At 40.0% G+C, this 25,630-nt stretch overlaps 1 protein-coding gene across 4 annotated transcripts in view; it reads right to left on the bottom strand.

The window, feature by feature from the left end:
• Positions 1 to 25,630, bottom strand: part of GRHL2 (grainyhead like transcription factor 2) — a 188,762-nt gene that overhangs the window by 52,742 nt on the left and 110,390 nt on the right. For all 4 annotated transcript variants that reach the window (NM_001440447.1, NM_001330593.2, NM_024915.4 and 1 more), the window contains exon 9: positions 8,762 to 8,920. In NM_001440447.1, coding sequence (NP_001427376.1) covers positions 8,762 to 8,920 — 159 coding nt within the window. The remainder of the gene's footprint in view (positions 1 to 8,761; positions 8,921 to 25,630) is intronic.

Here is a 25,630-nt window from a genome sequence, read left to right as displayed (position 1 = left end):
GGGTGACTGGGAACATTGTCAATTAAAAGGGATCTTTTTTTCCTGAGCAGTGGGTCTCAACAGTGGGCTTAAAATGAAGCCCACCAAAAACACATAAGCTGTCATCCAGGCTTTGTAGTTTTGTTTACAGAGCACAAGCAGACTAGATATAGCAAGATTCTTAGGGACCCTAGGATTTTTGGTATGGTACATGAGCACTGACTTCAACTTTAAGAGAGCAGCTGCATTAGCCCCTAACGAGAAAGTCAGCCTCTCCTTTGAGGCTTCAAAGCCAGGCATTGACTTCTCTCTAGCTATGAAAGTCCTAGGTGACATCTCCCAATAGAAGGCTGTTTGTTCTACAATGAAAATCTGTTGTTTAGTATAGCCACCTTCATCAATGATCTTAGTTACATCTTCTGCATAACTTGCTGCAGCTTCTACATCAGCACTTGCAGTTTAATCTTGCACATTTATGTTATGGAGATGGTTTCTTTGCTTGAATGTTACGAAGTCATCTCTGCTAGCTTCAAACTTTTCTTCTGCAGCTTCCTCATCTCTCTCAGCCTTCATAGAGTTGAAAAGAGTTAGGGCCTTGCTCTGGATTAGGCTTTGGCCTAAGGGAATGTTGTGGCTGGTTTAATCTTCTATCCAGACCACTAAAACTTTCTCCACAACAGCAGTAGGGCAGTTTCACTTTCTTATCATTTGTGTGTTCACTGGAGTAGCACTTTTAATTTCCTTCAAGAACTTTCCTTTGCATTCGCACGTTGGCTAACCGATAAAAGAGGCCCAGCTCTTGGCCTGTGTCAGCTTTTGATATGCCTTCCTCCCTAAGCTTAATTATTTCTAGCTTCTGATTAAAGTGAAAGAGATGCAATTGTTCCTTTCACTTGAACACTCAGGGGCCGTTGTAGGTTTATTCATTGGCTTGGTTTCATATGGTTGTTTCTCAGGCAATAGGAAGACCAAAGGAAGAGAGGGAGAGAGACTAGGGAACAGCTGGTTGGTGGAGCAATCAGAACATACACAACACTGATCAATTAAGTTCACCATCTTATATGGGTGCAGTTGGAGGTGCCCCAAAACAATTACAATAGTAACACCAATGATCATTGATCACAAATTAACATGACAGATATAATAATAATGAAAATGTTTGAAATGTTGAGAGAATCACCAAAATGTGACACGGAGACAAGAACACATGCTGTTGGCAAAATGGAGCTGACAGACTTGATCAATACAGGGTTGTCACAAACCTTCCATTTGTAAAAATTTGTTTTCTGTGAAACATAATAAAGCAAAGCACAATAAAACGAGGTAAGCCTGTATGTTCAATGTAGAATTTTAGCAAAATCACTTGCTTATTTTTCAGGCATTCTTTCATATGCCAAACCCAAAGAATTAACATAAAACATAGAGTATCTATACAGCAGATGGTGGCCCTTCTACAAAAGAAATTTCCTGCCCAGAATGCCCAGCTATCAGCATGACAAAACAGTTTTGATAGTATCCACTCAAGAGAACCACAATTCTTATTTCTAGAATAAAGTTTTTGACTTCACAGTGACCCCGGGAAGCTTCGATACATTCCATTAAAGTAAAGAAAACATTCCTTGAGCAAGACCTTCCGAGTATTCCACCTCTTCCTATGATTCTTTGTGACCTCAGACTTTTAGAAAATATTCTTTCTACTGTTATTAAAGTGCAAAAGTCTAGTTCTTCCAGAGGAGAATAATTTGCTACAGATACTAAATTTGTCATTTGAAAATAATTCCCTCCATCTAAATGTTCACTATAGAGTGTTAAATTTGGAAAATATATCTGGAAAATTCCTGCCAATATTGTGATCATTTTTGCCACCACTTGAGAGGTGATGGCTGTCTTTGTTTTTTATTTAACACTTAAGTTGCTCCTCTACATGTATTTTAAGAATGTGGCTTTATTTCTCCGTATTTCCACAATATGTAGCTATTGTTTGCAGTAATACAAAACCTTCACGAAAGATTGTGAAAGAATTTAATGTTAGCATAAAGATACACACATAGGTATCTATGTATGTAGCTATATAAACAGATCCTGAATTTTTAAAATGTATTAACACATGCATTTCAATAGAAGTATCTTAATACCAAGAATGATTAGGGAAGCCCTTTATTTTCAGCTGCAGTCTCACAGGTGTGAGATTAATTAGAATTGATTAATTGATTGATTAATTAGAAATCAAGCTGGAGAACTGTAAATAGTGCAGAATTCCATCTCTTGAAAACTATAGACTGTGATGAGAAAATGTATGGTTTTAAAATGGAATAGCCCTCAACTCTTTTGCCTGACAGGATAAGTCAAAGTGGGCATTTGTATTTACACACCCATTTGAAAAGTATAAAAATTAAACTTTAATATCTCTTTTTAATCTCCCAGGAATTAGTTTTACCTGGATTTTGAAATTAGAGCTTCAAAAATGATGACAAATTACAGCAAAAGATTTCAGGTCTACTTTGTTAAAGAAATTGACAGTAATTACGATGAATACACCCTGCAGGACTCGTGAGATTTCTTCCTTATGATTTTCCTGACATCCCCGACTCCAACCCTTAATATCAGGATGTGTAACTACCTGCTAGAACCTCTTGACATCACTACTCACTTGGAATAAATGCTTATCATTTACCCAACATTCTCCAACCATTTTCTTTTACTTAGCACTGATATTTACTGACCGATACGTAAAATAGGAGCTATTGGAAATGCCACCTACTTTCTGATTGGCAAGGTATTTGTTGACATAGTCCTTCCCAGTTTTTATGCATATTTACAAACATGTTCACACAAATAAGTGGTTCTCCCAACCATTTATCTCCTTGCCACAGATTACCCTCTTAACATGACTTCAGGAAACAACTGCTTTGGAAAAATCCATATAATCCTCTTTTTCGCCCTCTCCCTTTTATAATTTAAAATAACTGAATGAAAATGTATAAAAATATTTTCAAACAAAAGGTATAATCAATCAATAATTGTCTCTGCCCTCTTAGTGTCTTAAAGTCCCTCTCATTCTAGGACATGGGTGAACAACAATATAACATCCTCTGTATATTCTGCATGCTTTTATTCTTTGTTTTTCTTATTATTTATTATATTAACACTATAACGTAAAATAATTTTAGGAGAATCCTTAATCCCTGTCTCTCACTTTCATTTCCAACTACCAAAGTGAATATGAATGGATTGCCAGGTTCCTCTATTCAATTCTTCCCCCTCTTTCTCTTCATCTCTAACTTTATTCTTTATTTCCAAGAAGGGGATTCATGGAGGGGGATTCTACAATCTCCCCTGGAATATCTGAAATAAAGTAAGGGAATTCAAATTATTTAAATGCTTCCTTATTTGTGCTTTAAAAAATTATCTGTTATACATCATTTGAAAATGTTTTCTTAATATTTAATATGCTGAATTAAAGACATAAGCTGATTTTTTTGGTTCGGTTTTGTTTCTAAAGCCTACCTTGGCTCTTTGTTGAGGTTTTGAATGGCCAGTTGTCATTTCGGTATTTTATGTATAAAGTTATTTATCAATTCCAGGAGAATGAGTTTGAAATCAGGCCTAGATTTCCATCTAACTACTCTGCATTCCCACTGTGTGTCTCTGGGCAAATTGCTTATGCTGTCTGTACCTTCAATATTTCACCATTTCTATTCAACTGTGTCTATTGAGTTAACAGGCCTCTGGAAACTGTCATGGAAACTTCTCTACTGTCTTGGAAACTGTCCTACTAATTGCTGTGTCATGGAAACTGTCCTACTATGTACTGTCCTACTGTGAACTGTCCTACTGTGTACTGTCCTACTGTGTACTGTAAACTGTCCTGTGTACTGTCCTACTGTGTACTGTGAACTGTTCTACTGTGTACTGTCCTACTGTGTACTGTCCTACTGTGTACTCTGAACTGTCTTACTGTGAACTGTCCTACTGTGTACTCTGAACTGTCCTACACTGTTCTACTGTGTACTGTCCTACTGTGTACTGTAAACTGTCCTACTGTGTACTGTCCTACTGTGTAATGTGAACTGTCTTACTGTGAACTGTCCTACTGTGTACTCTGAACTGCCCTACACTGTTCTACTGTGTACTGTCCTACTGTCCTACCAGTGTCATGGAAACTGTCCTACTGATTGCTGTGTCATGGAAACTGTCCTACTATGTACTGTCCTACTGTGTACTGTGTACTGTCCTACTGCGTACTGTCCTACTGTATACTGTGAACTGTTCTACTGTGTACTGTCCTACTGTGTACTGTGTACTGTGAACTGTCCTACTGTGCACTGTCCTACTGTGAACTGTCCTACTGTGTACTGTCCTACTGTGTACTGTAAACTGTCCTACTGTGTACTGTCCTACTGTGTACTGTGAACTGTTCTACTGTGTACTGTGTACTGTGTACTGTGAACTGTCCTACTGTGTACTGTCCTACTGTGTACTGTCCTACTGTGAACTGTCCTGTGTACTGTGTACTGTCCTACTGCGTACTGTCCTACTGTGTACTGTGACCTGTTCTACTGTGTACTGTCCTACTGTGTACTGTGTACTGTGAACTGTCCTACTGTGTACTGTCCTACTGTGTATTGTAAACTGTCCTACTGTGTACTGTCCTACTGTGTACTGTAAACTGTCCTACTGTGTACTGTCATACTGTGTACTGTGAACTGTTCTACTGTGTACTGTCATACTGTGTACTGTGAACTGTTTTACTGTGTACTGTAAACTGTCCTACTGTGTTCTGTCCTACTGTGTACTGTAAACTGTCCTACTGTGTACTGTGAACTGTCTTACTGTGAACTGTCCTACTGTGTACTGTAAACTGCCCTACTGTGTACTATCCTACTGTGCACTGTGAACTGTTCTACTGTGTACTGTCCTACTGGGTACCGTGAACTGTCTTACTGTGAACTGTCCTATTGTGTACTGTCCTACTGTGTACTGTGAACTGTCTTACTGTGAACTGTCCTACTGTGTACTGTAAACTGCCCTACTGTGTACTGTCCTACTGTGCACTGTGAACTGTTCTACTGTGTACTGTCCTACTGGGTACCGTGAACTGTCTTACTGTGAACTGTCCTACTGTGTACTCTGAACTGTCCTAAACTGTTCTACTGTGTACTGTCCTACTGTCCTACCAGTGTCATGGAAACTGTCCTATTGATTGCTGTGCTGCTGTGATGGCTGGAAGATTGGCATTAACTGAAATCATCATGGCCTGAAAGGCCGTTGAGACTTTAGGGATATTTACTGCTATGCCACATGTCCCTAACCCCTGTGCAGTTCTTGTTAATGCGTTTTCTTTCTGTTTTCCTTACCATCTCTGCTTTCTCCTGCCACTGCTAAACCAGAACTCTCGGACATGTTAACAGTACATACACCTTTAATACAACTGACTGCAGCACCTTTAAGAGTGATGGGCTGAATTAACAGCATTTGCAGTGACCTGGATAAGATTGGAGACTATTACTCTAAGTGATGTAACTCAGGAATGGAAAATCAAACATCATATGTTCTCACTGATATGTGGGAGGTAAGCTATGATGACCCAAAGGCATAAGAATGATACAATGGACTTTGGGGACTTCTGGGGAAAAGTGGGAGGGGGTTGAGGGATAAAAGACTACAAATATCATGCAGTGTGTACTGCTCGGGTGATGGGCACACCAAAATCTCACAAATCACCACTAAAGAGCTTACTCATGTAACCAAATACTACCTGTATCCCAATAACTTACGGAAAAATAATTTTAAAAAAGAGTGTTGGGCAATAGTGAACTGGCTACTAATATCTGCTCCCTGTTCCTCTCTCTTCCCAGCATCTAATATGAAGTACTATCCTTTCACTTACAGTTAATCTCTGTAAGCAGTTAGTCAACTTATTTCTCATATACCCCTCCTATCCTTCCCAATTTTAAAATAATTGTACGATGTCTATACCTTGTCAGAATATACTGTCACACTGTCTCCACCATCATTTAGAATTAGATCTACAGGTAAATAGATCCTGAATGCTCACCACCCATCGTTTTATCAATGTCTTTACAGTAATATTGCTTGTCTAAAGTTTGTTGACTACTAGAGTCCCCGAGAAGAAATATTCTCTGGATTTTGGGGGTTTGTTTATTTTGTTTCTGCCTGCAGTCTTTATACTTCAAAGTCAATTTGGCTACATATAAAATCCTTGGCTCACATTTTCTTTACTTGATTACCTTAAATATCATTGTCTTCTGACAAGGTGTTGCTGTTGAAAAGTTTGATAATCAAATTTTCCTTATAAGTGATTTAATATTTATTTTATTTACTTAGATGCCCAAAGAATATTATTTTCTTTTTTCAAAAAGTCCAATAGCTTAACTATTTTGTATTGGTTATACTGGATCAATTTTCCCAAGTGGGTGGTGGGCTGTTTAAATACATATGCTTTCTGTTTAAAGTTTTCCTTAGAGCATATGTATTTAAATGCATATTTAAAGCAATGTATTTTTAGTATTCCATCCCCCTACTTTTTTTTCCTCAAAGATTCCTATTATATGTATATTGGATTTTATTTTTTTTAGATAGGGTCTTGCTGTGTCACCCAGGCTGGAGCATAGGTCACCGTAACCTCAAACTCCTGGACTCAAGAAATCCTCCTGCTTCAGCCTCCTGAGTACCTAGAACTACAGACATGCATCACTGAACCTGGCTAATTTTTACATTTTTTTGTAGAGACAGGGGTCTCGCTTTGTTGCCTAAGCTGGTCTCGAACTCCTGGACTCATGTGATCCTTCCACCTTGGCCTCCCAAAGTGCTGGAATTACAGGTGTGAGCCACGCACCTGGCCTATATTACATCTTTATCTTTCTTCTGTATCTGTATTTTCTCTCACACCTCTTTCATTTTCTCTGATTTTAAAAATTTTATTGTTTTCCAGCTTGTTTTCTTAGAGCATTATCTTTTATATTTATTTACTCTTGTGTTGCTTCTAGCATAGTTTTTAATTCTAATCTATTTTAATCTTTTATTTCTAAATTCCTTGAGTTCCATCTCATCTCTTTTCAAGTCATTCTATTTTCTACACATCTCAAGTTGATTTTTTCAAATTGTGATTTACATTGATCTTCATAACTTCCATTATTTCCTTAATTTCATTTAGCTTATTTTGAAATGTTAGGCTACAGTTTTCACCTGTTTTGTGGGCCTTTTTGATAGGCATTCATTATTCATGGGGAAGTCAGTCTGATCTTAATCTCTTTTTTCATGAAACATTGTATGGGATTCAACTGCTTTTTCTTTTCTGTTGGTCATTTTCAAGTGAAATGAGTGAGCCAGGATTTCTTCTAGCTTCATGGCTCCCAGGATGCCCATCTGGTGTGTTCACAGAGTGATACAAATATAGTCAGATTTTCTGAGATCTGCCTACTCTGTATCCCGTCCCATCTTCCTCTTCATTTTTATTTTGACCTCTTTCCTTTTCACCTTTTTTTTTCAACTCAGCTTAGACTTTACTCCGATAATTTTTTTTTTTCTCCAAAGCAGGATTTTGTCTTAGAAGGGAACTTTAGTTTCTGACTTCTCAGAATTCATAGAGCCTAAAACATTTCAATGCTCAGTCCTCTTGCACTCACTGGCAAATTAGAATCCACTAGATCTGTACCCTCCCACCCGAGTCTCACATGCTCTCCTGAGACAGCCCACTTCACTTTCCAGTGAGTACTTTGGAAAACTTTGTAGGTTTCCTGTTCTTTGGCTATCAGGTGGCCCCATTACTTTCCCTCACAAATGCTGATATCACACAGGTTTTGAAATTGTTGATGCTTGGTCCCATTCATATTTGGGATTTGTGAGGATCTTCTGTCACCTAATCATAGGGTTTTAAGTTTTGCTGTTCACATTTTTCAACTCTTTTGGGGTGGGATTCAGGGAGATTCAAAGTACATGTTTACTAAGTGCATATGTACTAATGAACTTATTTTATAAGTGCTATTTCCATTCCAAAAAGTCCTAGATGAGGTCCCATTTAACCCACAAAATAATAACGGATGCCCTGATATGCTCTGGGACAGGGTCTATGCCCAGTAAAGAATATTAATCTGTTATTTGAGCTATCTAATTGGATCAAACTTATAGCACAATGTATTACGGACTAAAGTTTGTGTACCCCCAAAATTCATATGTTGGACTCCCAATTCCCAATGTGATGGTATTTGTAGATGAAATTTTGGGGAGGTAATTGGGTTTAGATGAGGTCATGAGGGTAGAGTCTTTATGATAGAATTTGTGTCCTTAGAAAAAGAGACACCAGAGAGCTTGTGCACGTGCTCTCTCTCTATGCCATGTGAGGACACAGTGAGAAGGCAGCTGTCTGCAAGCCAGAAAGCGAGCCCTCACTAAGATCCAAATTAGCTGACACCTTGACCTTGGACTTTCCAGCCTCTAGAACTTTGAGGAATACATTTCAGTTGTTTAAGCCATCCAGTCTATGGTTTTTTGTTATAGCAGCCTGAGCTGACTAAGAAACAGTCAGTCATTAAATTAGTGATAAAAATGATAAACTAAAAAAAAAAAAAAAAAATAGTTGACTGAAGACTTCCTAGATATCTAACAGGAACTGAGAATAGAAGATTACCACTCCCACTGTGATGAGTAAAGTGAATATTTTGACACCACTAGACAAGCAAAGGTGACAAGGAAGAAATGCCATTAAAAGTAATATCTAATAAAAAAGATACCTTTATAAAAAACTGTCATCTTTACTCACTTTGTCACAGAAGACCTTGATCTGGCAATAAGCTCTATGAATGGGTTTATTGCTACGATTGTTATAACTGTATGTGTCAATCTGAATCATCAAAGGAAGTCCTTTCACCCCTTTTTGGGAGGAGAAATCTGTGCTCAAGCAATTCACGGTGATGAAAATCTGAGGGAAAGAGAAAGAAAAAGTTCACAAGTCAACATAAAAAGAATGTACAATAAACGCATAAACTTTAGACTTTAAGTCAAAATACTAAACAACCCCATAAAGACAACTGAAGAATATTTTGATATTCTTTTCACATAAAAACATGCTGAGCATAAAACATATAATTTATAATTATACATTATTTTTAAAATCTGCTTTCATATTTAATCTTGAAACAGACCATTTAAACTGCTTTCCTGGAAGTATATCAGCAAAGTCTTATTTTATTTTATTTTATTTTTTTGAGACAGAGCCTCACTCTGTCGCCCAGGCTGGAGTGCAGTGGCGTGATCTCAGCTCACTGCAACCTCCCCCTCCCAGGTTCACGCCATTCTCCTGCCTAAGCCTCCCGAGTAGCTGGGACTACAGGAGCCTGCCACCACGTCTGGCTAATTTTTTGTATTTTTAGTAGAGACAGGGTTTCACTGTGTTAGCCAGGATGGTCTCAGTCTCCTGACCTCGTGATCCGCCTGCCTCAGCCTCCTAAAGTGCTGGGATGACAGGCGTGAGCCACCGTGCCTGGCCAAGTCTTACTTATTTTTTAAACCTGCATAAGTGGCCTGGGTAAAACACTGTTTCCTCAACATATCAAAGTTGCCACTTCTAATAGTTATACCAGTTATTCTAATCTCTGGCCTGTGGAATAAAAAAAAAAATCAGATAACACCTTCCTTTGCACATTATTGCATTGAAACTAGTTATTTGTTTACATATCTGTCTTTGTTCCATGATTATGAAGCATGCAATTTGAGACCACTTATTATTTTTGTATTACTGGTACCTAGTGCCTGGAGGAAAATAAGCACTCAATAAACATTAGATGAGCGAATCACTGAGTTTATCTGCAGAAAGCCTACGAGATTGGGAGTCAAATGCCCCAGGTTTTAGCTCCAGCTGTAACATTAACCAGCTAAGAAACCTTACACAAGTCACTTAATTTCAGATTTCAATTTTCCCTTTAGGATCCCTCCCTGCAGGACAAAATGTAGATACAAATATACTTCCAGGTTAGTGAAAAAGTAAAAGATTGTTAAATGTAAGATCTGAAACAGGAGAGAAAATATAGTGAATTAGTGAAGGCATCAACATCCTCACCTTACAGCACAGCGCATCAAGAGATATAAGAGAAATCACATGAATTCAAAAAAATGGAAACTCCAGGAAATTACTAAGATTACAGTGCTGACCAACAAAAGAACTAAAAATAATTATTTTATTATAAAATATTGGTAAGAAGAGAGGGAGGAGTGTAAATGAGCTAAATTTCTCCTCATTTTAAATAGTGGATGGCAGTCCATTGATACCATTTAAGAGTGATTTATCACGGAATTGAGGTATCAGTGTAGCACCCAGGTTTACATGGTAACTACACTGATGATTAAGAGGTGGTTTCTGGGGAGATCCAGGCACACTATATTATACTCTTGGTACTATTTTCATTTGATGCCACATGTATTCTTTTTATTTAAAATAAAATGTTAAACTATTCATTGCTTTAAAATTGTAAAATTATGTATTCTGAAAACTATTTCATTAGATGTACTATTTAATGCTTATCTTATTTGATTCCCTGGGTTTTCCATTCACCTTTAAGCCTTGGACCTGAAGTCCCTCACACCACAGCGACACTATGGAGAGCAGCCCTCAAGGAAGCAAAACCATGAGAAACGGACTGCATGTTAAAGGCTTTTCAGCCGGGCGTGGTGGCTCATGCCTGTAATCCCAGCACTTTGGAAGGCTGAGGCAGAGGGATCACCTGAGCTTAGGAGTTTGAGATCAGCCTGGGCAACATAGTGAGATCCCATCTCTACAAAAAGTTTAAAAATTAGCCGAGTGTGGTGGTGCATCCCTGTAGTCCCAGCTACTTGGGAGGCTGAGATGGGAGGATTGCTTGAGCCCAGGAGGTTGAAGCTGCAGTGAGCTGAGACTGCGCCACTACACTCCCAACCTGGGTGACAGAGAGAGATCCTATCTCAAAATAAATAAATAAAATAAAAGCCTTTTGAATTTTTGATTTAACTACTAGACCTGATCTAGTTCATTTCAAACCCAAAGCCTGTAGGCTTTTGGCAATCCAGGCATCTCATTTGTAGTGCTACATCTCTATAAACCTCATTTTTATTTTATTTTTGAGCTCCTCAACTGGCACTGAGGAATGTCTTAGTGGGGTACCACATCCACACCAATCAGGCCAGATGACAGGGCTTAGTGACAGGCTGATTACAGAAACCCTATGCCCTAACCCCTGGGCTCTCACGCTGCCAGCCACTGCCTGAAAACAAGTGCCCAACAACGATCTAATTATGCCAACACATCTAGCAAACTAAGGTACAACACGAGGACCATCAGTAATGAAATTGTACTGTAGATGGGAAGTCAGGGGAAAAAGAAAAAAAAGGTACTGTATATGGAATCAATGCTAAATGAGTAGATTTTAGCTGCTTTTACCAAAAACAAAAAGAAATGGGTAATTGTGTGAGACATTGGATGTGAGATGATGGATAAAGTATCTACATGTATTCCATAACATCATGATGTGTGTCTTAAATATATACCATTAAAAGTTGCTTTTAAAAAAAGATGATCTAACTGCCAATACATTCATTTCCTTCATTCATTTCTTTAATTCATGTATTCATTCATTCAGTCTGTAAACATCCACACAAGCCCACAATGGGTCAAACACAACATTAGATATAGGGGATAGAAAAGAAACTCAAACCCCTGCTTCATGGAGCTGACAGTCCAAGAGGGAGATGGACGAGTGATCCAGCAGTGACCAACACAGGGTGGTCCTCTGTGTTGTGTGTACAGAGAGGCAGGTGTGCACAGAGGCCCCAGGAAGACAAAACAGAGCCCTGGGCATGGAGAACACTAGTGAAATACAAACCCACACATTCACTGGGCTTAGAGCAGGGGTCTGACAAGGACTGAGGAACAGTAAAGAAAAAGAGAATGACTAAAGATGCAAATGTCAGGTGATTCACAGGAACTGAGTGACAAAGACTACTGAGAAAGAACACACAGGCTGGGCGTGGTGGCTCACACCTGTAATCCCAGCATTTTGAGAGGCTTAGGCGGGTGGATCACCAGAGGTCAGGAGTTCGAGACCAGCCCGGCCAACATGGTGAAACCCCATCTCTACTAAAAATACAAAAATTAGCTGGGTATGGTGGTGGGCACCTGTAATCCCAGCTACTCAGGAGGCTGAAGCAGGAGAATCTCTTGAACCTGGGAGGTGGAGTTTGCAGTGAGCCGAGATCATGCCATTGCACTCCAGCCTGGGCAACAAGAGTGAAACTCTGTCAAAAAGAAAGAGAGAGAGAGAGAAAGGAAGGAAGAAGAGAGAGAGAAAGAAAGAAAGAAAAAGAAAGAAAGAGGAAGAAAGAAAGAAAGAAGAAAGAAAGAGAAAGGGAGGGAGGGAGGAGGAGGGGAGGGGAGGGGAGAAAGAGAAAGAAAGAAAGAAAAGATAGAAAGAAAGAAAGAAAAAATGCTATGTCCGATTCTCCTACTGATTTTCCATGGTGTAAGTATTTTGCCCACTACAATCACAGAGACAGAAAATGCTGTCTGCTGTCCCTGGAGAAGCCCTAATGGCAGAGAATTTTTATTTAACAGTCATTTATGCAACAAATATTTTTGAAGCGCCTACCAAGTTCCTGAAGCTGTGCTAGGCACTAGCATAGATGCACTGGTTATGGTTCCTGCAATCACAGAAGTCAGAGGGAAGATTGAGAGAGAATATACGATGGTGCTCTAAAGATAACAACAGCTTCATCAAACACTAAACTTTAGGTTAAAAAAAAAGTATAATTTTCAGGGAACACCTGAAAAACATCTTGGCCAGAGTGTATAAAATGCAGTTGTATGTCAGCAAAGCAAATGATCACTCTGGTGAGCTATGCAGTTGTTCATCGTTTTGGCCATGTGCTTCATAGAGATCTTCCTGCTGGTGGCCATAATCACAGGAGTCTTAACGCAGACTGGTTATTTTCCACTCCCTCATAAAGCCTGCCTAGAACTACAGGAGCCAGAGGAGAAAAGTGTTCTGATGAATATTTCCTAAGCTATTGAGATTCATGGTTGGCTCAGTGATTTAACCACATGTCAATCACAGTGGACATACATACACTCAGACAGGCAGGAAGCAATATTAAATGTGGCCTTATCAGCTCAAGTCTCAACTAAGAGCCGACGTGATGGATTGTGAATATTTACAAGGGCCATTTAAGTGGGACAGACCCACCAGATCCACTGAAATAACTGCTTACTGGCAATATGCTATAATACATAGTCTAAATTTTCCCTGGAGGAGTTATAAAAACCAACCACCCAGTAGAGATGGTCTTTAAAGGTCAAATGAGCTACCACACATCAGACTTCACCGGGAGACACTTAGGCTAGGTTCTCTCAATAGAGAGAGGTCCTTAGTAGAAGCTCTAATGGGCTCTCTAATTCCATTAAAAGTAAACAACACAAGAATCTGCCTTTTCTGCTACATTGTGTTGTCAGCTCCCAGTGAACCTATAAGGGAAGGAATTTATAATAGGGTTGGCATTGTTTCCTCTTGCCTAGCTGCCTGACCCACTGGCAAAGCACAGTTTCAGTACCTTGATGGTATCAATCATAGTCTCGCTGTGCTGCACTCAAAACCCAAATGGTTGAACTTTAACTGAAATTGGGGGTGGGCAGGAGTTTGGGAAATCATGGAAAGACATTAACTAAAGCCTTAGCTTGGAAAGTGATAAGCATTCATTTGTTTCATCTTGCAAACCCAACCATGTCTCAGCTCCATGCACAGCAGGCAAATGTGAAAGCAAATTACTTGGAAGTGTATCTACAAAGCACTTGTTTGTAAATATGTATTAGAGGGGCTTAAGGAAAAGGTATAATTTCCTCTACCAAATGTTCATCCAAATGTCAAGCACAGAAAGTTATTTTTCACTTCGGTGGAAGCCTTGATTATGTAAAGGATGTATAAATGCCGTGAACAATCTATCTGTCTCCCAAGCGTTAAGAAAGTTACAAATGCTCATATAATATTTTTAAAACCTCTCTTACTTGTTTTCCTATAATGCTAATAGCACACAATTTATTTTTTAAGAAAGAATTCATTAGATCAGGTGTATTTAGGCAGATAATAAATACAATTTTAATTTTGTCATCAGTTCAAAGATTGATTCAGATAAAGATTGTTTCTAAATGTACCAAGATCTTTCCCAGAAATAGAAGCAGTCTCATAACATTGGCATTTTTTTACAAAATCATTTGTTACATATGAATTACAATTCCCATTTTGTGGTTTCTACCCAAGACAAGTGACTTTGCTGAAATTATAATACCCCTCAGTTGTACATTATGCATACAGTAAGATTTATTAAAATAAGCACAAATCAATGAGCTTTAGAATTGCTACATTAACTTGATTATTAACTCCTAAAGCTTTTTCTGAGAGCTTTCCATTAAAATAAATGGGCCTACCTTTGATTCAGAAAGCAATTTGGGATTCAAAAAATTGTAACGTCTGTGATTTGGTACAATGTATTTATTTTCCTCTTTAAGCAACTGTATTTTGCACTTTTAAGATGTTTCTTTTTAAAGACTAAGAAAGCTACTTATATCCTGATAATCGAGACTGAAAAAAAAATTCTTTTCCAAGAAATTGCACAGGAGAAGCCTCTAAATTACAGGTACAAGGTATACATAAGAAATAATCATTTTAACACTAGAACACATTTTCCTTTCACAAACAATATATAACTATATAAATGTGCTCTTGCCAGTTTCTCCACTCTGTTCCTTTCTCGGTTTTAGAACTTCTACAGACAGCTTTCTCACATTTTACCTTTCTTCTTCCACTTTGATAGGATTGTATTTGTGTGCAGATGCAATGCCAAATTGAGACGGAAGATAGACTAAAAGTAGACAATATTAAAATGTGAAATCTCAGCTTTGGGTAACCATCTATTTTTTTATGCATGTATTCATCAAATAGTGATTTAATATCTTCTCTCTGTGCTTGGCATTGTGCTGGGAGATGGGAATACGGGATGCAAGACAGACTACCCGCCCCCAGGGATCTTGATGTTTTGTTGAGGACATAAGAAATGCCTAGATTTCATAAAACGTACAATTATATAGCACTTTTAGAAAGTACTCTTCAAATTTTTTTATTTCATTTCTTCCTTTCTTCCTGATAAAATATTTATGTTTTCCTCTCAATTCTGCGGTTATGTATGTATACACGCAGATGCATGCTTGGTGGACTCACATACTCTACTGTAGTTCCCCATATTCTTCCAGTGCTCACTTTTTGTTTGTTCTCCTTTCAGAGGCTTCGCTGCCTGCTGTGTGCTCTGCCTTCTGTGCTGTCCCTGCAGATCACCACACTGCCAGCTCCTTCTCATTCAGATTCAGTCCAATGTCAACTCTTCGGAAATACCTGCCTTGACCATCCCATGGAGAGCTGCCTTTTACCTCCTCTTCCTCCTCCTCTCAAACCCTTGGCCCCTGACCAGTGGCACAGTCTGTCAAATTTCTCTTTTCTCCTCTCTTCATCGCCCATACAATTATTTGAATTTATCTTATTATTTATTTGTTTAGTGTTTAATTGTCTGTTTGCTCCATGATTCTGAAAAGCCCTTAAGAGGAGGGTACTTGCCTTCCTCAAGCTCACTCTATTCCCAGTACTAGGCCCATGGTAGACAGTCAACAAATATTTGTCCAACTACTTAAGAGAAGATAAATTATTTTTCTAAATACAACTTTATCTATGCTCTTGCTTTCATAAACAATACCTCCTAAGAGCAGAGATTAATATGAGTAGCTGAAGTCAATTTAATATAGTGGAGTTAACTGCTCTGACTGGATGTTATCTATCAATCAACAATCATAAATTGAGCATCAACTATATATTCAGCATGAATATCTTCATCAATATCTATGTATGTATGTATGTATGTATGTATGTATGTATCTATCTATCTATCTATCTATCTATCTATCTATCTATCTAATCCATCCATCCATCCACACTCTGAAGATGCTATATATAGAGGCCATGGGAAATACAGAAGTCTATCTATGGCAGGGCCCTGCCCTCAAGGAAATGGTGGGGGTCCAACAGTATTCACTGTTGTAGAAGGTACGTAATTAGATATTAAATTGAATACTCCAGACTCTGCTTGCTTTAAGAAGTAAGAGAGAAGGCCAGGCATGGTGGCTCACGCCTATAATCCCAGCACTTTGGGAGGCCGAGGCAGGTGGATCACCTGAGGTCAGGAGTTCGAGACTAACCTGGCCAACATGGTGAAACCACATCTCTATTAAAAATACAAAAATAAGCCGGGCATGGTGGTACATGCCTGTAATCCCAGCTACTGGGGAGGCTGAGGCAGGAGAATTGCTTGAACCTGGGAGGCAGAGGTTTTAGTGAGCTGAGATCCCGCCATTGCACTCCATCCAGCCTAGGTGACAGAGCGAGCGAGACTCCATCTCAAAAAAGAGAAAGAAGAAGAAGAGAGCTCAACAATGCAGCCAGGGAAGATTTCCTGTAGGAGTCTTGAGACAGGAGAAAGAGAGATGGAAGAGAAAGAAAGCGCATGCTGCCTCTGAAAAAATGGAGAGATCACCCTAATGGAAAAGGAGGGTTTATATCTGGAAGGTGAAGAAAGAACCTGAAAGGCAGGGAGTGGTGAGGAAAAAGGCAAATCAATCTGCTTTTATCACTGTGATCCAGTAATAAGCACTGAATGAGGCCAAGTGTGCATCTCTGAGGCCAAGGCAGATAGAGCTGTGGCCACAGCCTCCGACATCCAAGCTATAGAGAGGACAGGGGCATGAGGACTGAGAAAAGGCCATTGTGTTCAGTAGTAGAGAGCATCCATGCTACTTCCAGAGGCCAGACCAATGGAAGGGAGGAGAGGAAGGTGATTGCTGGGCAAGTGAGACAGGTCAAGGAGATGGAGAAGAAGCACCTCAGCTAAGGGAGGGATGGGAGTACTGGGAGTGGGCAGCTGTCCAAGCAGCGGGGCACTTCTGAGATGAAGGAGGTGTCCACATGACAAGAGATGAGGTATGTAAGAGGCTCCAGAGAGGAGTGGCTGTGGGAGTCAAGAGCCTCAGAATCAGGGGATAAAGGAGATCAACTCACAAGTGAAGTTTTGTGAGAGGAAGAAAGAGCTTTCTCTGAAGGTGGTGGGTGAGAAGATGTAACATAAGAAAGCAAAAGAACTAACATAACTAACTCCATTTTTGTTTAAGGAGTCTTTACCCATTCGTGCACATAGGCAAGGACGACTTCAGAGCACTGACATAATATGTGAAAACAGCAGTCATGTAGCTTTTAAAACTAATCCCGGGATGAATGGGGAAGTATGTAAACAACTAACTATGTTTTGTTAAAGATTTTTAGGAGCATTGTGACCTGACCAAGGACAAGGAAGTTCCCAGCCTCCTCGGACACTCACTGCTGTCCAGATGTCTGCAGTCGCTGGTTACCTCTTGATCTCAATCCTCTTCTTATCCTTCTGCCCTTAATATCGAAAGAGCCTAAAGTTTGTACTGACTTAAGATGGTACCTTAGAACATTAGTTCACCATCTTCTCGGTTATGTTGGCTTTCTGAATAAACTTGCTTTTCCTTCCACCAACCCTTGTCTCTTGAGTCTGGCTTTCAAGTGGTGAGAAGTCAAACCTGGGTTCGATTATAACGAGAGTAAAGCAAAGACAGAAAAAAACATCTGCCAAGAGGCTCAAAATGGTGTGCCTGGTGCAAACCCTAGCACTACAGCCTTGGACTCATTGTCTAACCTTTCTGGGACTCACTTTCTTCTTTTAAATAGGTATAACAGCCCCTACGTTGGTACTGTGACACTTATATGAAATAATACTTTTAAACGGTAGAGTGTCATGAAAATCGAAAGAATTTTACTATCGTCAACATTATCTCTCTCCTTTCAGACACCTAGTCTCTCAGCTGGTCCTGTTCTTGAACTCCAAGCTCTCACCCCCATGACAGAATCAACAAAGCCCTCTCCATTTTACCTCCCTAATGCTCCTGCCTGGGTGGCCTCCTTAGCATTCCCAGGGTCCCCCAGTTCAAGCCCTCCTTCCTGTAGGATTACTACTTCCTCCTTCTATTGCTACCTTCCAGCTGGATTCTCTCCCTGGGGATTTTGTGAAGCTAACTTCAAATGATCCAAAGGTAGATTAGTTATGATTTGCATTAATGGAACAAACATTTAATTAAGGAGAATTGATTTGAAAACATTAAATCTCTCTCCCCACAGCACTTTGGGAGGGGTTGAATCCCAGGTATTGCTGGGGAGAGCATGGGGAAGTCTCTCAGGCAGAAACCTTCACTGCTCTTCAAACTACAACAGTTTCTCCTGCTCTGCTCTGTCACTCGAGCAGATCTTGCGAAGCAGCACATCAGGATGAGGGATGTGCATAATGAGAGATTGGGCTGCTTGGTGAAATAACGAGCTCCCAGGCAGAAGAAGAATTTAAGTACAGACTGAAAGATTCATTCACTCGACTTTTTCGGCATTTGTTATGTGAAGCTTTTTCTGTTCATGTTTAATACTTAAAACTTGTTTTGAGTTTTTAACACCTGAATATGGTGCAAAATCCAAAAGGCACAGAAGGGTAAACTGTGAAAATGACCTCCCTTCCTTGTTTCCCAGCCAACCAACAATTTCTTGAGTATCCTTCTAGAAACATGTTATGCAAATACAAATACACCTCATTTCCTATTTTACACAAATGGTAGCATAAAATGCACACAGGTCTGCATCTTGCTTTTTTTCACTTAACAATAAAGTCCGAAGATCGCTTTCTCTCTCCCTTTAAAAAAGTATGAAATATGGAATGACAATTTCTTCAACATTAGGTTGTTTCCAGTGTTTTCCTGTCATAAATAATGCTGCAATGAATGTCTTTCTACGTGGCTTTTGTTCACATGTGCGTGTATAAATTTACTTCTGAAATTGCTTTCTTTAAATCAAGGGCAGCCTTCTTAGCAGCATCTTTATATCAGGCGTTTCCTAATTTAGCGTGCATCAGAATCGCCAGGAGGCCTGGCTGAAACACAGGTTAAAGGGCCTCACCCCCAGAGTTTCTAATTCAGTGGACCTGGGTTGGGAGACAAGTATTTGTGTTTCTAACAATCTACGAAGTCAGCACTGATGCTGCTTGTTGAGGACCACAGTTTGAGCAACCACTGCCTAAACCATTGGACTTTGGTGGCCCTCTCCTTGTCCTCTTCGTTCTCCTTCCCCTTCCTTCCTTCCCTGTTCTTCTTCTCTGCTCTTACTCACCACCCCTTCCTTCTCCAGCTCCCCTCCCTCTACATTTTCTAAATGGAGAATGTATAAGTCCTATACTTCACCCTGTTTTGCCCACCCTCCAATTCTCTCCCCAGCAATCTCGTCCTTTCTCATGACTTCAATCATCCCCTCTTTACAATTAACACTAACTTCTCTCCTGAGTGTCACACTCTCCTGAGTGGCACAGTGCCCTCTCTCCTTGTGCTTTCCAGGTTCTGCACCTTTGGACACCCCCTTGTTCCCTACCATACACTCTTCTTCCAACTTCCTTATGTCTAAGTCCACCTGACCCTGAAGACACACCCTACATGCCACGTCCTTCCTTGTGTCTTCCTGATCCCACAGAAAGAGGACCTCTCTACATGCTGAAGTACTTAGAAATGAGGTGTAGGTGTGTGTGTGTGTGTGTGTGTGTGTGTGTGTGTGTGTGTGTGAGAGAGTGAGCAGAGACAAAGCAAATCTGGCAAAATATTAACAATGAGTCAATCTAGGTAAAGGGTAAGTGGTATCAAATGTATTAGTCTTTCAACTTTTCACTTGAAATTTTAAAAAATAAAATGTAGAAAAATAAAAAATGGAGCTGCCTCTCTCTTCAGACCTCTTCTAGCACTTTATCTCCCATAGACCCACTGTCACTTACCTACCTTGTATTACAATTATTTACATCTGTGTCTCAGTTGCTAGCCTAGTCCAAACATTCTCTGAGCGCAGGGATTCTGCCTGGCTTGTTTGTTCAGGACCCTCCACCGCCTGGCCCAGTGCCTGATATGCAGTGGGTGCGCAGCTTCACAGGAATGGTTATTCCCTTGTCAGAGATAATAAAGGAGATATTACTACTAGGTCTTTCCAAAACAAAAAGGTGCCATGGAAAGAGCACATGCTTCAGAACCAGACAGCCTAAGGTTAGAATTCCAGCTCTACCAGGCGCCAGCTGTGCAACCTCAGGTAAGCTAGTTAACTTTTCTGGGCTTCAAATTCCTCATTAGTTAAATGGAAACTGCTATTTACTTAAAAATATGAATATTGCATAATGCATATAGATTGCCTGGCAGAGTGCCTGGTATATGGTAATCACTGAACAAATATTAGTCATTGTGTACACACGCACACACAATCATTTTATGAAATCCAAGTATGCAATCTAATTCTCTGCACAATACAATAGTTTGTACATGTTAATTACAGAGTCCTAAGCAAAATTCAGTCCAGAAACCATGGATACTTCACATTCTAACAAAGATCTAGCCATTGATACCTTTGGTGAGATGCCTTCCAAAGATTATTCCTTTTATATATGAATTAACTCCAGCTTTATAGCTTTTCCTAACATCCATTACCTTATAAAACTGGAACAAAGGCATGGCTTTGTTTAAGTTCAATACCAAAGACTCCAGCAAATGTTTACTTTTCTCCTTTAAGGCTTCCTTTACTCACACCACACCTCAGCAAACACATAAAAAAATGCCATTTGCCCTGCTTTGCAGTGTGCAATTCAATCTTTCAAGACCCCTCCCAGGAGTGCCCCCCAGCCCTATTTTTACTTTTCAGACCATGAGATATGTTCTGTAATATTCTGTAATTTTCCACAAGATCGCCTGTTTAAAATCAGCCAATACATTAATTTAGGCAAAAAATTGGAGTATAACTTTTTCTTAATCATGAATATCTATCAACCCCATATCATCCTAGACTGTCTTGTAAGCAGAAAGAGAACTCCCCAGACAAAAGCACTGGGCCGCTGAGGGGTGCAGGCTGTGGAATAAGCAAGGTCATGAACCCACAGGGCACTCAGGAGTGTAGTCTCCTTCAGACAGTCCTTTGGTTTCCATTTGCATCCTGAAAAACAGTGTTTACACATCTTCCCTTCTCCTTTGGTATCCAGCAGTGGAGGTCAGCAGATTAAGAACGCCATCCATTTAGGAACAGCCCTTTGGAAAGCATGATCCGTTAAGACTATCAAAACTTTAATTTTCAAAAGAACTGTGCTTGGCACACAATGGAGGCTCAATAAAAACTGGTTAAGCAGTTTAGACCAAAAAGAACCGGAAGAGAGATAGAGGGAAGGGGGAAAGGAGAAAAAAGAACACATTTGAGACAAGTTGATGGATTTGCCATGATTTGGTACCGAATACAAGCCAGCCTTTCAATTAGCATAACATTTTTCACCCAAAGAGACTGAATAATTTGCAGCGTATGAGAAGTGAGAACACCTATGTTTTCTCCAATTTACTCCTTTTTCATAAGCTATGGCCAAAGCCCTGCAGTTCTCACCATCTTATCTTTTAAGCTACTAAAATTGAGATAATGAGGACATAGAGTTATTTTTCCTCTCTAGTAGCAGCTGCTGGAGCAGAAAGCTAGGCTTGGCTTGCTCACCTTGAAAAGACAACACTGAGAGAGGAGGTGAGTGGAGGAAGTGAGAGAAGGAAGAGAGCTGGGTTTTCTATAGAAATAGTAAGTCAGCCTATATGATGGCTCTAGTCACATCTCACAACATGAAGCCAGTCACTGCAGTCACCATGACCCAGGCCACATCAAATGCACTCTTAAGTCCAGGGCAGCTGTCAGGCAGTGCTGGGACATTAAATCAACTTCATTTTCTCCCTTTAAAGTGGATTTACAAATATAGATGAGAACATTTTACTTTCAACTTGCACTTTTAGTTTCTTCTCACCAGCCAACTCATCTTAGCACATCCCTGTTTACCTCCCTGAGACTGGCTCTCAGTTCTTAGATGATACCTCCTTGTCAGTATTAAAGCAAAATCCAACAGGAAGGCAATGGGGCAAAACTATTAATGCAAATAGGGCCCAGAGGAAATATCAACATGTCTCCTCACTTTGCATTTTCCCACAGTTTCAAAAATTACATGCACATCTCTTTTGTAAATCCAATGCATTTGAAGCATTCCAAAGAGACCCAAGATTAGAGGAATCTCTCTATAAAAGGAACATTGGCTTATGTGTAAGTAGTCACTTCCAATTACCACCCTGGTAAATGTGAGGATTTGTTTGTTGAATTTCTTAAGTTGCACATGTAGAGCGGAGGGTCACTGTATGCCTCCTGCAAGCTTCATCTTCTCTGATCATAATCCTCATTCTTGCTTTGGAAATTTCTCAGTGCTGTGCTTCTTGCATGGTTTTTCAAAAAAAGAACAAGGAATTGCCTCCACTATTCATAACAGAAAAAATATACTAAAGAAAGGTGTGCAGAGATCATGTAAATGAATAAAAATGAAATTCAGGATGCCAGGGAAAGGAGCTAGAGAGAGATGGGGGAAATGAAGAATAGATGTGTAAAGGCATGGAGAAGAAAACACTGATATGTCTCAGCACTGTAATTGAAAGCATGCACTGATCTTTGGAGCGAGGTAAGAATTATGCAGAGGAGCTCACTAGTGTTAGGCTAATCAGCATGCAAATGCTCCGTTGAAGAGTGCAAGGAGTTTTCACTCCCACATCAGTTCCGGTCAATGATATGCACGATATGGACAGGTGATGTACCAGGGCAACAGAAGACGTGGATAGAGAGAGCCCTATGTGCTGGAAGTGCTGCACCAGCAGGCCCATCTTTGTGGGGAAGGAGAAAGTGTGGCGTGAGGACAGGGCAGGTGGCAAAAGCAGGGTGGCCTGATTGAACGGCTTTGCTCAAGGAAATGGAGTCAGCCATTCATTTTCTTTCTTTCTGGATACAAACAGGTTGTACCCTATAGATTGCTTAAAGAAGGAAAATCATAGCTTGCTTTGGCTTAAAACAAAAATCAGATTTCTCTCTATTGGGAGAGTCAACAGCATGGGCTCTGGACTCATAGGGCCCTGGGTTCTAAATTAACTTTTTCCATTTGCCCAATCTTGCAGGGCCTGATATGTTGAGAGGTAATATTTAGTGGAATCAGAATCTAAAAGGCCCAAGAAGATTATCCATGATGTCTCTTAGGCTCTTTGCTCCCTTCCCCACCTCCATTGGGTCTCAGCCCTGCCCACCTCCAATCTCATTAGGAAAATTTGTTAACAGAGATAAAAACAGATGCCTTACTTGTGTCCTTGGCCCTTTCTAAAACTGCAACAACTTCCTGTCTGGAAGGTCCTCCCTAATCCCAAAATGCAGGAAGAACATTTGCTGATGCTCTGGCAAAGCAGAAGGCTAGACAAACCAATACCCCTAAGTCCTCTCCTGCAACTCAACACACAGCGGGAAGGAGGAGCAGGATAGACATCACTCAGGAAAGTAATCAGTCTGCTTCTGAAAGCAGAGGCACTGGGCTAGAATGCAGCAAAGAACAACCCTGGGAGATCAGAGTTTCATATTATTGAATTATAATAGACTTTTCTAAAAATCATAAAGATCGGAGATGGCCAGTAGTAGACTTATCTGTCAGCATGATTAGTGTGATGGTAGTGAACATTTTCACTGAATCCTGAACTAAGGTCATTCTAAAAGGCTTGGAGGCAGAGCAATTTAAAAAAAGCTTCATGGAAAGAAGGCTTTTTTTAATCTTATGTATAATAAACCAAGGAAGGGTGAAGCATAGAGACATGGACAAATTGTTACGGTGTTCCAGTGAAAAGATCCAAAAAGGAAAAGTGTTCCTGAAAGTCAGCACAAAGCACTAAGCAGCATCTTTAATGCTCAAGTAATTCTTCTCTGTGGTCACATGACAGAGGTCGTTGTAGCACACCAAGATTGGTTTAATCTTAAAATCACTGCGAACAGAGAAAACAGCCCTGGACAAAAATAAGGGGCCCAGTTTCAAGACTCTCCTTAGAAATCTAGGAGGAAAGGAAGCCTGTAATTAGGGTTTGCTGCACTCTGCTCTGGGGGTGATGTCATCACTTAGAGAAAGGCAGTGCTCGGTGCCAGGAATCTGAGCTCACAGCCCTTTAATAACTCACTAGGGTCTTGCGTGGGAATTCCTCATCTTAGGGATTAGTGACCAACAAATCTACTTCTTAGGTATCGGTGTTTGGGTAAGGAGAGAAAGAAAATTAAAAAATTCTTGTAAATGGGAGTCATGTGAAAGAATATGACACAGAAGTCCTCCCATTGGGATCATATGGATGGGATCTTAATCTACACACACACATACACATATGCACACACATACACACAAACACACTTCCCATTGTTTTATGGCTTTTTTTTTTTTTTTTGCAAAAAAAAAACTCAACAGGGGAAGTAAAAAGCTGGCTACCCGAGTGCCAGGGCTAGAATCTGGCCTAGAATCTAGCTAGAATCTGGAGTTCAGGTCTGAACTCCATTTCAGTGCTCTTTCTGCTGCCACACACTGGGCCCTGCCCGCCATCAATTTCCAAGCAGTGACAGTGTGGACACTCAGAACCTTGTCCTCCTAGATATCAGAAGCCCAGGGACGCCTGTTCACATTACACAGGCTTCCAGCCTGCAGAGACCCTGAGGGCAAAAGCTGATCCTGTTGGAGACTATTCCTGCTGCATGTGTCATTGTGCAGAAAGACTCTGTCTCACAACCAGCAAAACGGGTTTTGGGTTGAAGAACTCTGCAATAGTTCTGCCAGAATCCGCCTGCAATGGACACTGCAAATCTGGAATTAATCCCCAAACCTCATTTTAACTAATAGCTTTAACACCTTCCCTGGCCAAACGTTTTCCTATAATTTAATTAAATTAAATGATTAGAGTTTCATGTCTTTCCTTTTTTTCTGTTCATGCTAAATGAGAGGTAGAAATAAAATGTAAGTCAGCAATGAAAGAAAATGTATGCTTTGGAGAAATCCATAAACCTTATTATCAGGTCTTGATTACAGATCTGTGGCAAGAATACCAAATACCGGATTGGTTTTTTGTTTTTTGTTTTTTAAATAAATGCATCAAAACTTAAATATCCAAATAAAAGCTATCCTTTAACATAATCATCTTGGGAAGACATACAGGTTTCTCCAATGATGCTGCCATGGCTTTAAAGCATATTTAGAAGGTCTCCTCTGATATGGCCAGCTTCAAAGATGATATATAAAACTTGGTGCAAAAAAAACCTCATTCTTAATCCTCAAGTGGTATTATCCAGCTTGTTGATATGTATTCACATTTGGATCAAGGTGGTTTCTGGTGTTTTTTTTTTAAACATCTTGAAAGATCAAGATTTACCACTATTGTGAGCATTCAGAAGAATGTCACACATTCTGTTTTCAACAGTGGGGACACAAATCAGTGTCTGGCCTGCTGCCACTGCAGCCCCATGAGGACCAGGCCAAAGGAGCCAGGGAGCCAGGGAATGCTGGTGGCCTTACTCGCCCCATTCCTCTGAGCTCCGGGGCAGAAAGACTGAACCTACCTACAGCTTCAGCCTACCCTCCTGAATGCTGA

This window comes from Homo sapiens, chromosome 8 (assembly GCF_000001405.40).
Source record: "Homo sapiens chromosome 8, GRCh38.p14 Primary Assembly".
NCBI classification, from domain to species: Eukaryota; Metazoa; Chordata; class Mammalia; order Primates; family Hominidae; genus Homo; species Homo sapiens.
The sequence above is the reverse complement of the archived record's forward strand: the minus strand, read 5'-3'. Positions and strand labels throughout refer to the sequence as shown.